This window comes from Homo sapiens, chromosome 5 (genome assembly GCF_000001405.40).
Source record: "Homo sapiens chromosome 5, GRCh38.p14 Primary Assembly".
NCBI lineage: Eukaryota > Metazoa > Chordata > Mammalia > Primates > Hominidae > Homo > Homo sapiens.
The window spans coordinates 168,462,436-168,475,373 of record NC_000005.10 but is presented as its reverse complement, the minus strand read 5'-3'; the positions used below and the strand labels follow the sequence as shown (position 1 = coordinate 168,475,373).

Sequence of the window (12,938 nt, the reverse complement as noted above, 5' to 3'; positions counted from 1 at the left end):
CCTATCATTTTTACTTAATGATGTGTATCAATTACTTACATAATAATTGAAAACTAAGTCTAATTTTTTTCAAAAAAGACACTAGGCTCCCATCCTGAGGCTCTGGGAGAGGGCACGCTCTTTGAGACAGAGTCTCACTCCATTGCCCAGGCTGGAGTGCCGTGGCACGATCTCGGTTCACTGCAACCTCCGCCTCCCAGGTTCAAGCAATTCTCCTGCCTCAGCTGTGCACTCTCCTATGCACAGTGAGAATGCCCCCAAGCACACGGTGACTCTCCTAGGGAGGGGTGGGGCTGAGACAAAGCCCTGACCTAGGAGGAGGCAGGTCCCCTGATCCTTGAAAACCTCTCTTTTTCCCTCTCCCTCCTATCACAAGGGTGGTGGGAAGGCCCACCCAGGGTGCGTGAGCCACTGCGCCCGGCCCCAGATGTTTTCATCATCACTATTTTTGCCATTTCTTTGTTTCACCTAAGTACATATTTTTCTTTAAATTGATTCACTTTATTAACTTAAATATTTACTTATCCTCATCTTAAACAGTAATATCTGTGAAAGCATGGGTTTGATGGACAAGTTATATATTATGTATATTAAAACAAATATGACTATAAATATAAAAATTCACCCATGTACCACCTAACATTATCTCCTGTCACCAATCATACACTTATGCCTCCCTCTGGGGAAACAGTGCATCCAGTCACTTGTTGTCATAGCAGCCTGCAGAGAGGGTTGAAAACCATTTGGAAGTGTGTGCCCACATTCGTGTTGGTACTTGGCAGGATTGGAATTAGAACTTTGGTCTTAGCTTAATTCACTCACTGAACAAGTGTTGGAGGGTCTGCCATCTGTCAGGGACTGTCATGGCCCCAGGGCTAAAATAGTGAACAAGATATGCATGGTGCCTGCCCTGTGTCTCCAACATCCTAATAAACAGACAGATAAAACTAAAGAATCAAATACATAAATGCAAATGGTAAAAAGTACTGCAATGGCAAGCTTGTGTTCTTTTGTTACTCTAATTAGCTTCATGTATATTTATCAGCTACTCTGTGGTTGGTTGCAAATTTATTACTTACCACATTCTCCTAAATACATTTATTCAGGCCAGTGCCATGGCTCACGCCTGTAATTCCAGCATTTTGAGAGGCTGAGGCGGGCAGATCAGTTGAGGTCAGGAGTTCAAGTCTAGTCTGGCCAACATGGTGAAACCCTGTCTCTACTAAAAATACAAAAATTAGCCAGACGTGGTGGTGTATGTCTGTAGTCCCAGCTACTTGGGAAGCTGAGGCAGGAGAATCACTTGAGTCTAGGAGGCGGAGGTTGCAGTGAGCTGAGATCACACCACTGCACTCCAGCCTGGGTGACAGAGCGAGACTCTGTCCCAAGAAAATAAAAATAAAAAAAATACATTTATTCAGTCCCAAGGGCCCTGAGAAAAACCTTACCAAAGGTGTAGGCCAAACTCGTAAGGTTTAGTTATTCCCAGAATCATCTAGAATATAACAACTAGAAAATACTCCCTACTAGAATATAACAATTTTCCTACCATCCATTAGCAACGTACATCTCTCCTCTACCTAATCTCATTGAATCTTCACCTCACTCAATGAAGAAGGGAAGGCATCTCATCTTGCTCAAAGTCCTGGAGTTGGAGGTAGGTGCAGTGTGGACATGGCACTCAGGACTTCTCTTTTCCAGAGTCTCATCTTTTTCTACTGCCCTTCAAGCAATGGAGACGGAGAGGTATGTTACAGTTTTACCTGGGAGTCTAATAGTGCATTTCAAGAATGAGGGCAGTAATTTATCTACTGACATATTCATACATGTGCGAAAGGATGTATAGACAAAGAGAGAAATTAGGCACTGTCAAAGCAAGTGACTGGTGACAACAGACGTGTCCGTCAATTAACTGATGGCACATCCATTCAGTGGAATACTACATAGTTGTATGAATGAGTAGATATCTTATCGAGATAAGATACCAGACACCTTTTTTTTTTCCTTGAGATGGAGTCTTACTCTGTTGCTCAGGCTGGAGTGCAGTGGCGTGATCCCGGCTCACTGCCACCATGCCTGGCTCTTCAGCGAATTTAAACATTATGTGTGTGTTAGCTCCCAATCACTTCCGCTTCTTTATGCTGTGGAGTCACAAGTGTGTTTGGGGGCAGGGGGTGATGTCCTGAGCTGGATGGGAGGGGGGTCTGCACCCTGGCACCTGACAAAACCAGCTTTTAGTACTTCTGTTCTACACAGAGCCTTTCCGGCTTCCTGATTAGAATGACAAAGATGTAGAGACTAAATACACCTTTGAGGCAGATTTTTCATCACATCCATTCATTCAATTCATTTCACAAATATTAAGAACCCACTCTACATCAGACCTAACAAAAACAAGGCAAATGAGGTCCCTGCTTTAAGAACTTATGCTCCAGGGTGGAGAGGGATCTTGAGGGGTGAGGCTCCAGCTGAGACCTGAAGGGTGAGAAGAAGCTGGCTATGTGAAGTCGATGTGAAGACATGGAGGAAGAGTGCACCAGGCAGAAGGAATTAGGACTGCAAAGTGCTGGTGGAGGGAAGGAGAAAAAGAAAGGCCAGCGTGGCTGGAGACTGCTTAGCAAGGGGATAGTTAACTAGAAGAATCTTAGTCATTAGCCTTCTTGAGATACAGAAAGCACATGTGCATATTGCAAAAAGGTCTGTACTCAAAGGCAACCGTTGCCTTTAGGAGTGGGAGGACCAAACCCAGTGAGGTTTGCTGTCTTTTTTCAGAGTAGTATCCTAGTATCCTGCCTTTCTCCCCACCCTGTGCAGAGAAACCACAGGAATTTGTGACTTCATTCTTCAAGACCAAGGATTCTACGGCTCTACAATTAGGGCCTCATGTGGTGTGCTGTGGTAACGCCACCGTGAAACAGAAGCTGGAGCTGAAAGAAAATAGAGATTTTGGAGTTGAAAGATGGAATTAGCATCCTAGCTGTAGCCATTTATTATTTATGTGAGCTTGAGGGGGTCATTTCACATTTCCCGGCTTTGTTTCCTGAAGGTCCTGGAAAAGACACATGCACAATTATAAGTGAACATTTATTTATTTTTAAATTTCTCTCTAGGCAAACAATGGAATGTATTGGTGGTTTGCTGGTGAACCGTTTATAGAGAATTCAACTCCATCCATGGCTGGAAGAGGGTCTGCTGCCTTCCGCAGAGGTGGTCTGGTTCTCCCCACAAATGCCCCGACAGCTGAAGTGATGCTGAGATGCACTTCTTCAGGCAGGAGGATTTGCTCCATGTAGCTTTTCCTATACACAGGGAGGGCGTTTACAGCTCTGCTTCATAGCAGCGGATGCTGCAGGGGTATGAGGGGCTGACCCTTGCTGGGACAACTGAGCACAGATGAATGTGTCACTGAGAAGGAATTCCATAACACATGTGACTTTCAAAGTTTTTATTGAGTCCAAATGGACTGCAGATACAGTGAGGATGCTGCTGCCTTTTGTGCCAATGAATTCAGGCTCCAAGATCCCCAGGACACCCCCATTCTGTCTCCATCTCTTGCATCTGCTTTCCTTTGCAGGTTGACCTCATTTTCCTAATCCCATTGCCCCCATGAAGCTGGAACCATGGCCAGAGGTAGCCTTGGGAAGAGAAAATCTCATCTCTAACCTTTGAGTGGAAAATGCTAAGGAATGGTTCTGAATGGCTCAGCTGGACCCCATGCCTCTCCTTGGTCTAATCATGGGAGCCAAAGGGATGGGTCACTTACAGCCAGCTTGGGGCATTTGCCCCGTTGCTGTGGCCAATGCCCTTAACAGAAGGGCAGAAAAGATCATGGGGTCAGCAAAGAGAGCAGCCTCCTCAAAGCTCAGAGGAGTGTAGGCACAGGTGCCACAGAGCAGCACGAGACCATCCTTGTGCTCTACAACCTAGTACAATTGAGTTGGGGAAGGTGTTGATTGATACTCATATGAAGACATTACGAAGTAAACCCTGAATGTGTCTGGTGGAATTCAATGGAAGGAGAGAGAACATCAGAGATTGATGTGTTCAGAGACGTGAAGCCACGGGGCAGGAGGAAGCCCTGGGCCAGTGGTGAGAAATCGGGCTGGATAGCAGCTATACAGGGGGGCCTGGAAGCCACAGGGGGAAGAAGAGTAGATTCTACACCACTATAGGTTCCTTATACATGAGGAGAGACAGCCAGGTAAGGAGTATGCTGGGGAGAGGGGGAAGAGCCTCAGCAGCAAGTGAAGGTGGCACCACTCCCTCCATCACCGCCCATGGGTTCCCAGTAGCCTGGAGAAGGCCATGAATTTCAGCGTTCCCTGTGTGACTCACCAATAGGATGCGGGCCTCACCATTTTGCCTGTCTCTGCCTGGGTTTCACTCACTTTATACCAGTGGGGCTCTCAAATTGCGGTGTGCATAAGACTTACAGAGGGAACATGGGTAAAACACTGGCACTGGGGACCGTCCCAGGGTGGGCGGGATAGTTCAGTGGGTCTAGAGAGGACCTGACAGTCTGCATTTTATTTTTATTATTATTATTTTTTTGAGATGGAGTTACGCTCTTGTTGCCCAGGCTGGAGTCAATGGCGCCATCTCGGCTCACCGCAACCTCCGCCTCCTGGGTTCAAGCCTTGGCCACCCAAGTAGCTGGGATTACAGGTATGCGCCACTACGCCCAGCTAATTATGTATTTTTAGTAGAGACCAGGTTTCTCCATGTTGATCAGGCTGGTCTCGAACCCCCGATCTCAGTTGATCTGCCCGCCTCAGCCTCCCAAAGTGCTGGGATTACAAGCATGAGCCACCGCGCCAGCCAGTCTGCATTTTTCTTTTTTTTTTTTTTTTGAGACGGAGTCTTGCTCTGTCACCCAGGCTGGAGTGCAGTGGCACAATCTCAGCTCACTGCAAGCTCTGCCTCCCAGGTTCAGGTCATTCTCCTGCCTCAGCCTCCCGAGTAGCTGCCCGCCACCACGGCCGGCTAATTTTTTGTATTTTTAGTAGAGACAGGGTTTCACCGTGTTAGCCAGGATGGTCTCAACAGTCTGCATTTTTAATAGGCTGCCCCAGGTGATTCTGATATAGCTGGTGCAACTTGCTTTGCTGAGTGGTGCAACAGACTTTGAGAAAAGTTGCACAGGGTAATGTCAGAGAGGAAGGAGGAAGAGATTTGTGGCTGTTGCTATTTGTTAGAAACTGACTTCTGATTGTCTGCAGTAGACCCTGCAAAGCTCTGAGCTGGGTAGGAATAGGGGCCACAGGAGCAGCATGAAGCACAAGCTGTAGCACCTACCAGCCCCTGGGTTGGGGACGACATGGGATGATGCTCATATGAACAAACTGTGAAGTCATCTCTCTCTGGGTGGGGTGGAATTCCATAGAAGGAGACAGTACAGAGAGCATATCCCCAGTCTAACTTGGGGATGTGGATTCCCAATGAGCCGAGCAGTCATTTTAATTTAATGAGCAAATGAAAACAGTGGGCAAAAGAAAAAATAAATGTTTCCAGGACTGCGGATGGGTGGGAAAGAAATGACTGGAAAGGGGAGAGTCAAAAATCAGGGAAACAGATGAAGTGAGGGGTAGGAAAGAAAAAGAGAGCAAGAGGAAGATTCTTTTTGAAAGGCCACTTTATTGATGGAGATAAAACTGAATGGAGTTCCCCACAGCCCTCCCCTCACTCATGTTAGTGGCTTCACTGGGCATCTGAGACCAGCGTGGCCTGTCACCCACATAGACTAGGCTGCTTAGCCCACCCAGCCTATCACACTGCCCGCTCCACGTTGGGCAGCCACATAAAAACACGTCACAGCTCAAGAAGATCCGTGGATGCACCTCTGAATCCCCCCCAATGGTTTCTGTGCATTTTTTTAATATTGTACAAAATATGTTAACTAGGAAAAATTAGCTGTACTGTGACAAGTGCGGGACGTCCTATTAGGATTACCGTCCCCCAGGCATTACTTCTTATTGCAGTAAGACCTCTAAAAGGTGGAGCTGTACAAACCAAAAAAAATCTAAACGATTTTAAGAAGAGCAGCAACTCAATACTGCTTTAGTTCATTTAAATTTTCTTTCCCAAAAATACACTCCTAAATATACAAACTATACAATCTTATTATTTTAATGCTGGTTTTTTTTGTTTCTGTTTTTGTGTGTGTGTGTGTTTTGTTTTTGTTCTGTTTTTAATAACAACAGTAGGACCCAAACTAAAAAGTCGGTTCATCTTCAAACCAACAAGAGCACTAGAGGACTTGTGACTCAGTACCTTCATATAACACCACATAAATAACTTTAGCCACAGTCAATGTTCACAGCCTGGTCAGTGGAACAAAGGAAATACTTTTCTGGCGATTAGACGTCATCTGCAGAGAGAGCTGGGATATTCATCCGAGGCCGGGTGAAAAATGCCATCTTCTCCCTATAAGAGAGGCCATCCCTTTAGAGCAGGGGTTTTCAACCTCGCTCTACAGAGATTCTGGGCAGGATAATTCTTTGTCGTGGGAGCTGTCCTATACATTCGCTGCAGAATGTTTAGCAACGTCCTTGGCCTCTTACCCTCTAGATGCTGGCTGTATCCTTGACCTCCAGTTATGACAACCCAAAACGTAAGCTCATTGCCAAATGTTCCAGGGGGAAGGGGAGAAATCACCCCTGGTTGAGAACCACTGCTTTAAAAGACCATTAGCATGAACGATGACTCTTAGTTCAAATCCAGTCAGAGGCTTCTCAGTTTAAAAGGACCCTTGGGCCACTTCTAATGTTTGTTTGTTTCAGATTCTCAATTTGTTAAAAAGTTAAGAGATGCCCAAAGATAGTTGTACAAATATACATTTTAAATGTTTATATTCCACAAAGGAATTTTTTTTTTTTTAAAGCACATACACAAACATGTGTACCTTGTTTGAGAGGACATCAGAAGTCTAAACGCTAGGGCCTCTGTGGATGGGAGGCCCAGGCCAAATGGCATTCGGGACCCTCCGAGAATACACCCGGGTCCAGCATGGCAAGATAGCACCTCCCTGAGATCCTAGCAGGTGGCAGGCAGAGCCAGGGAGGCCCAGCGAGCATCCATCACCCCTAGGTTTATTTATCATTCAGCCAACCCTCCACAATTACCAGTAAGGAAAACACTACGAGGAAAGGCTGGAGCAGGTGGCTCATTCATTAAACAAGAGGATCTAACAAATTAGCTCGAGTTGTGTGGGGACTGATAAAGACAGCCAAGGGAAGAGCGCTGCAGAGCTCATGGATCGCCAGGGATGGCTTGGCGGAGGATGAACATCTGTTACAGGGAAAGCCAGTGCTCTGTGAGCAAGGGATGAGAGCAGTAAGACCACAGACAGAAGACTAAGGCCGTGGGTTGGCTGAGAAAGGGATGGGGGGCTGCCGGGGCCCTCTGCTTACCTGAAAGACTGAACTTCTGGGGGTTCCTTACAGCTCTGGCCTCGGAGCCTGTGCACATCCTTGGCAGCTGCCCTCATCATCTTGTCTGTCTGAAGCTCACCCTTGTGCTCCGCTCGGTCCATCTGCTGGGCAAAGCAAGCAAGGCCCTGAGTCAGTGGAGGGGGCCTCCAGAAAGGGGCAAGGAGAACTCGCTATCACAACAGAGGGGGCTACTGTAGGGACGGCACCCTCACTCTTGCTCCATGTGGGATCCACTTCATTCAGAACGATAATGGGAAGTGCTCAAATCATCTGTTTGAGTGACTAGATTTTTGGGGCCAGGAAACGGAATAACTGTGGATCTGAGGAATTGAGGAGATGAGGGCTGCCTGTTGAAATGTGCGCTACCTCTAATCCTCAGGCCACCTAGGAGGGTAGATGTTATTACCTCTATTTTACCCAGGGAACTTAGGCTCCAGCAAAGTAAGAAATTTCTTTAATGTCAGACTACTAAGAAGTGGTGGAAACTCAGTCCCAAGCCATGCAGTAGTTCTTAAGAGGCTTGGGTATAACACTATGCCCCTTCCTCCTAATGTAAACGTATGTAAACACTTTTGAGAACAAACCACAGACAGCCCTAAAATATCCACGTACCATATACTTGAAAACATTGCACAAAGACAGAATTTTGGTAAATAAAGCCATCGTTTTTTTTGTTTGTTTGTTTTGAGACGGAGTCTCGCTCTGTCGCCCAGGCTGGAGTGTAGGGGCGCAATCTCGGCTCACTGCAAGCTCCGCCTCCTGGGTTCACGCCATTCTCCTGCCTCAGCCTCCCAAGTAGCTGGGACTACAGGCGCCCGCCACCATGCCCGGCTAATTTTTTGTATCTTTAGTAGAGACGGGGTTTCACCATTCAAAGGATGGTCTCAATCTCCTGACCTTGTGATCTGCCCGCCTCGGCCTCCCAAAGTGCTGGGATTACAGGCGTGAGCCACCGCGTCCGGCCTAAAGCCATCATATCAATGGTTCTTTGTTAGAAGTCATAGATGCTAATTTTTTTTTTTTTTTACTATTTGAAAGGTCAAGTTTTCTAGTTTGTTTTTCTTAAGTCAGGGCACATATTACTTCTCAGTCTTTCGAATAAGATCAAGTGTTAAGGTAGGGCACATAGGCACTTGTTTTCTGATCTCTTTTTGCCTTGGTTACCAGGAAGCTCAAAGATAAACATAATATCTAACTATAATTAGGCTACTTTAGATTTGGGATATATTTATTTCCTCTCCTCCTTCAAGCCTTCCAATTTTCTGTTTTCCCCTCAATGTTCTTGTTATAATCCTGTTTATAAGTAAACAGGGTATAAATAAGAAAGAAATAAACTTTTCTGGAACTTTAGAACTGCCAGAGTCAGTTTGAAGCTCCCATATCAGTCCAGGCCTAAGAAGTCCGGCGTCATCTTCCTGCCCTAGGGCATCACCACCTGTATTCAGCACTGAGATTTCAGCTGATGGTCCTGAGAGTTCAGGTAGGCACCCTCTGTAAGGTGCTCTCAGCAAGGCTGGCTGTGTGCACAGAGAACTAGCAAAAGTCTTTTTTGCCGTGGGTGGCGATCACAGAGTGGCAGGTATTATTTTTCATAAATGAAAAATTTATGAAATTTTTCATATTGGTCCTATATTGGTCCTATATTGGCCCTTGCATATTGGTCCCATATTGTTTATTTCTTCATGGCAGTCTGGGACCTGTTGGCTTAAAAGCCTGCTGGTGCCAAACTCAAATTTTTACCCTTCCAGTTGTTTTAAATATAGCTCAAATAAGCAGCTTTTAAAGCCATATACAACCTTCCTGTTTTGCATACCCTGTGAAACTGTACCCAACATTTGTTAGCCATAGATAGATAAACCCTGGGCCTATAAGAGACCCCAAGCTGCTGCTGTGCTTTGGAGTTCTCTGACCCAGAGACTCCCCATCGTGCTGCAGAGCTACCTAACCTAGATGGTCCCTCTTCCCGAGCTCTCCCCTAGGAGTTCCCTTGCCTTCCTCCACACTGGGCAGTAGCCCCCAGCACCTTTGGAAGGTCTCATGCTGTGAGGGACTTCCCCTGCATGCAAACCTGTCAAAGCGCAGTGCAAGCTAGGCACGCTGGCTCATGCCTGTAATCGCAACACTTTGGGAGGCCGAGGCAGGTTGAATGTTTGAGCCCAGGAGTTCGAGACCAGCCTGGGCAACATGGTGAAACCCCATCTCTACAAAAAATACAAAAATTAGCCGGGCATATTGGTATGCACCTGTCAACACAGTTACTCAGGAGGCTAAGGTGGGAGGATCAATTAGAGCCTGGGAGGTGGAGGTTGCAGTGAGCCATCATGCCACCACACTCCAGCCCGGGCGACAGAGAGAAAACCCATCTCCAAAAAAAAAAAAAAAAAAAAAAAAAAAAGCCCAGCTGATATAAAACTTTGTGTGCTAACACCATTTTGAGGTTATATCTTTCTCCTTGATCAACCCCTAAATCCCTTAAACTCATTATAGCAGGGCAGAGGTGCCAGCCGACTTGTACTCCAGGGCATCCTTGTTAGCAGAAGGCCCTGGTGTGACCAGCCCTTCTCCCCCTTTGGCAAGGGCTGCCCTGTGGGACTTCCTGGGCAGGCATCGAGGCAGGTCAGTGTCCTATTGTTACTCTTTTAAAGTGCGTGCTGTGGCACAGACTGGGTACCCTACGTATTTCATGAAGAACTGCATGATGAGTACATGTGTGAATAATAAGGGCTTGCACACAAAATCACAACAACAAATGCAGTAAATGGGCCTTGCAGCCAGGTGAAAGGTTCATAAAGTTGAGTGTGCAAAGGGATTCCTGGATCCCTCTCCTGATGGGAACGAGGGATGGGTGGAACACCCTCAGTGGAACCTGTGGTGGGAATTGTAGGATGCATCATGAGCTCTGGCCTCTCTTCCCCGGGGCAGTGCCCCCCGACTCTCTGGGGCAGAGCGCAGGGCTCCCCTGCCTTCGAGGCAGAACTCACCCGCTTCTCCAGCATCCTCAGCAGCAGGCGGAAACGCTCGTCCTCACGCAACCACTGTGGCAGCTCCTTCTCCCCGTGGCTCTTGGCTTGTTCCAGCTGCTCCTTGAGCTCCTTCAGCACCGAGATCTCCTGGGTCAATTGGCTGTGCCAGGTTCTTGTCGCCTGCAGGTCTAACTCCAGGTCCAGCGAGGTACGGATCAGACGCTCGGAGCGCAGCGACTTGACCGAGGAAGGCTGTGGGGGTGGGGACGGCTTCTCTTGTTATTAGAGCTCTGCCCAGTGAGCCCACCCAGCCTCTTCCTCTGACCCTCAAATACCCTCTCTTGTAGGCATCCACTCCTTCCGAATGGGGCTTGCCCTTCCCTGGGAAGCCTGTTTTGAATTCTCCCACTCAGCTCATGTTTATTGGGCATTTATTATGTCCCAGGAACGGCACTAAGCACTTCATTTCCATAACCTCGTTTCATTTTCACAAACCTAGGAGGTCCCGAGGGTTATCATCTGCACAGATGAGGCATGCAGAGGTTAAGTCCCACAGGATATGTGTGGTAAAGCTGAAGCTCCACTCCAGGAAGCTGGCTGCAGTCCCCACCCGCCCTCTCTGTACACTGTGCCAGCTTCAGTACTCTCAGCACCCTCCATATGTACGTTCTCAATTATTGATTCCTGTCACTGTACTGTTCTGAAGTTGTTTCCCCAATACAGGTCTGTTCCTGCTTGAGGGCAGAAGTCATGTCTTCTTGACTTTGTGTTCCTGTAATGGGCCCCTATTGTTTCTGCTTGTCCACCATTTGTTTCCCCAGCCTTAGAGTAACAATGCCCTCACCTTCCCTTGGAGACCTCCTCCTCTGCACTCAATCCACCTGGTTTGTGTGGGGCATCAGGGATAGGAATGTGACCTGAACCTGGCCAGTCTGCATCTCAGTGACAGGTTCAGAGGTAAGCATGTTATCAAAGCCCAGCCATTAATACTCAATTCTGGCACTTTGCTGAACTACTTGGAAAAGAGACAATGTCTTTACACAGAGGTTGCTAAGCCTTCAAGATATAAACCTGGGACTGATCATGGTCATCTTTACTTGTGGGGTGACCTGTTTGAGAATTAAGCTGTACAGAGGGAGCAATGCCATGAGAAAGGGGCTGAGGCCTGATGACATCATTTCAACCTCTGGATCAAGCCATGCCTGAAGGTAGTCCAACATCCTGGATTTTTTCATTAAATGAGACAATAAATTCCCTCTTTCATTTTTAAGCTGTATTTGAGTTGGGTTCTTCAGTTATCTATACGTAAAAGACCCTGATTAATACAATCATTAACTCTCCTCCCATCAAAAATCACTAACGATTAAAAAACAATAATTCATGACTGTGGGAGTCAGAATTCTAAAATGGTTTCTCAAATCCCATTGCTAATATACACGCCCTGTATAATCTCCTCTCCTTTCATCAGGTAAGCCCCTAAAAGATGGCCTGGGCTTTTCCTGGCTGGGCTCTTCTGCTGGCCTTAAAGAAGTAAATAAAGCATGTTGTAGAGACCGTCACAGGGCAAAAACCTGAGAGTGACCTCTAGGAGCTGAAAGTGCTCCCCTAAACCCCCAGCTGACAGCTAGCAAGATAATACAAAGTAATAAATTCTGCCAACATCTGGAGGCAGTGCCTGGATCAGATGTTTCCTTAGTCAAGCCTCCAGATGAGTATGTGGCCATTTAACACTTAGAGGTTTCAGCCTGCTAAAACCCTGGGCAGAGCTCAGCTAACCTGTGCTTAAGCTCCTGACCAGCGGAAACTGTGAAGTAAGGCATTTGTATTACTTTAGGCTGCTAAGTTTGTGGTGATTTATTATGCAGCAATAGAAAACAAATACAATGACCAATACAGAGATTTCAGACACAGTATAAGAAGCATTACCATAAGACCTAGTCTCATTTTGCACGGCTGGCAAGCATACTATTAGGAATATAAGACAGCTCTAGGAAGAATTTCTAGAATGCTCTTCTAGGTTGAACATGGTCTGCTCTGCACTTATAAATGAGCAGGATCAAGGAAATCCAGCTGAGTGATCTACGTGGCTCAAGTTCTCAGAGCAACAAATAAAGATTCTTTTGCTTCGTCTGTCCAGTCTCAGAAGTTGGGCAGGCTGCGGTAGAGACAACACAGCTCAGGTAGTGCGTGGAAGCAAGGAGCAGTGCCCAAGGGCCCAGGCCCAGCCTCTGGATTCTCCTGTTCCTCAGGACCCGAGGGAAATGTGGGCTCAGACCCACCATCGGGGCTCCCTTATTAAGTCATTCTCTTGGTTAAGGGGAACAGGGGATGATGAAGGGGACCTGCTCCTGTAGGGCCTGCCTTAGAAGGGAGCTGTGGGAAACGCAGGGGGAGCAAGTAGGAGATCAGTGGCATTTCTGCAGGAGTGGACCATGAACATCTGCTCCAGAAGCCCCTAAGGAGCTTTGTTAAAATGCAGTTTTCAGGGCCCACGCCAGCTGCCTGAATTAAATGGTCAGAAGTGTGGCCTTGTAATCTGCATTGT

At 46.9% G+C, this 12,938-nt stretch overlaps 1 protein-coding gene across 18 annotated transcripts in view; it reads right to left on the bottom strand.

Annotated features, from left to right (window-relative positions):
- WWC1 (WW and C2 domain containing 1) overlaps window positions 3,071-12,938 on the bottom strand; it is a 180,659-nt gene continuing 170,791 nt past the window's right edge. For 7 of the 18 annotated variants that reach the window (XM_011534485.2, XM_011534487.2, XM_005265850.2 and 4 more), the window contains 3 exons: window positions 10,412-10,663; window positions 7,410-7,534; window positions 3,071-6,423 (listed from right to left, as the gene is read on the bottom strand). In XM_011534485.2, the coding sequence (XP_011532787.1) occupies window positions 6,357-6,423; window positions 7,410-7,534; window positions 10,412-10,663 (444 nt within the window). In that variant the 3' untranslated portion in view covers window positions 3,071-6,356. The remainder of the gene's footprint in view (window positions 6,424-7,409; window positions 7,535-10,411; window positions 10,664-12,938) is intronic. The other 11 variants (XM_011534486.2, XM_011534489.2, XM_047417017.1 and 8 more) reach the window with 3 other exon arrangements.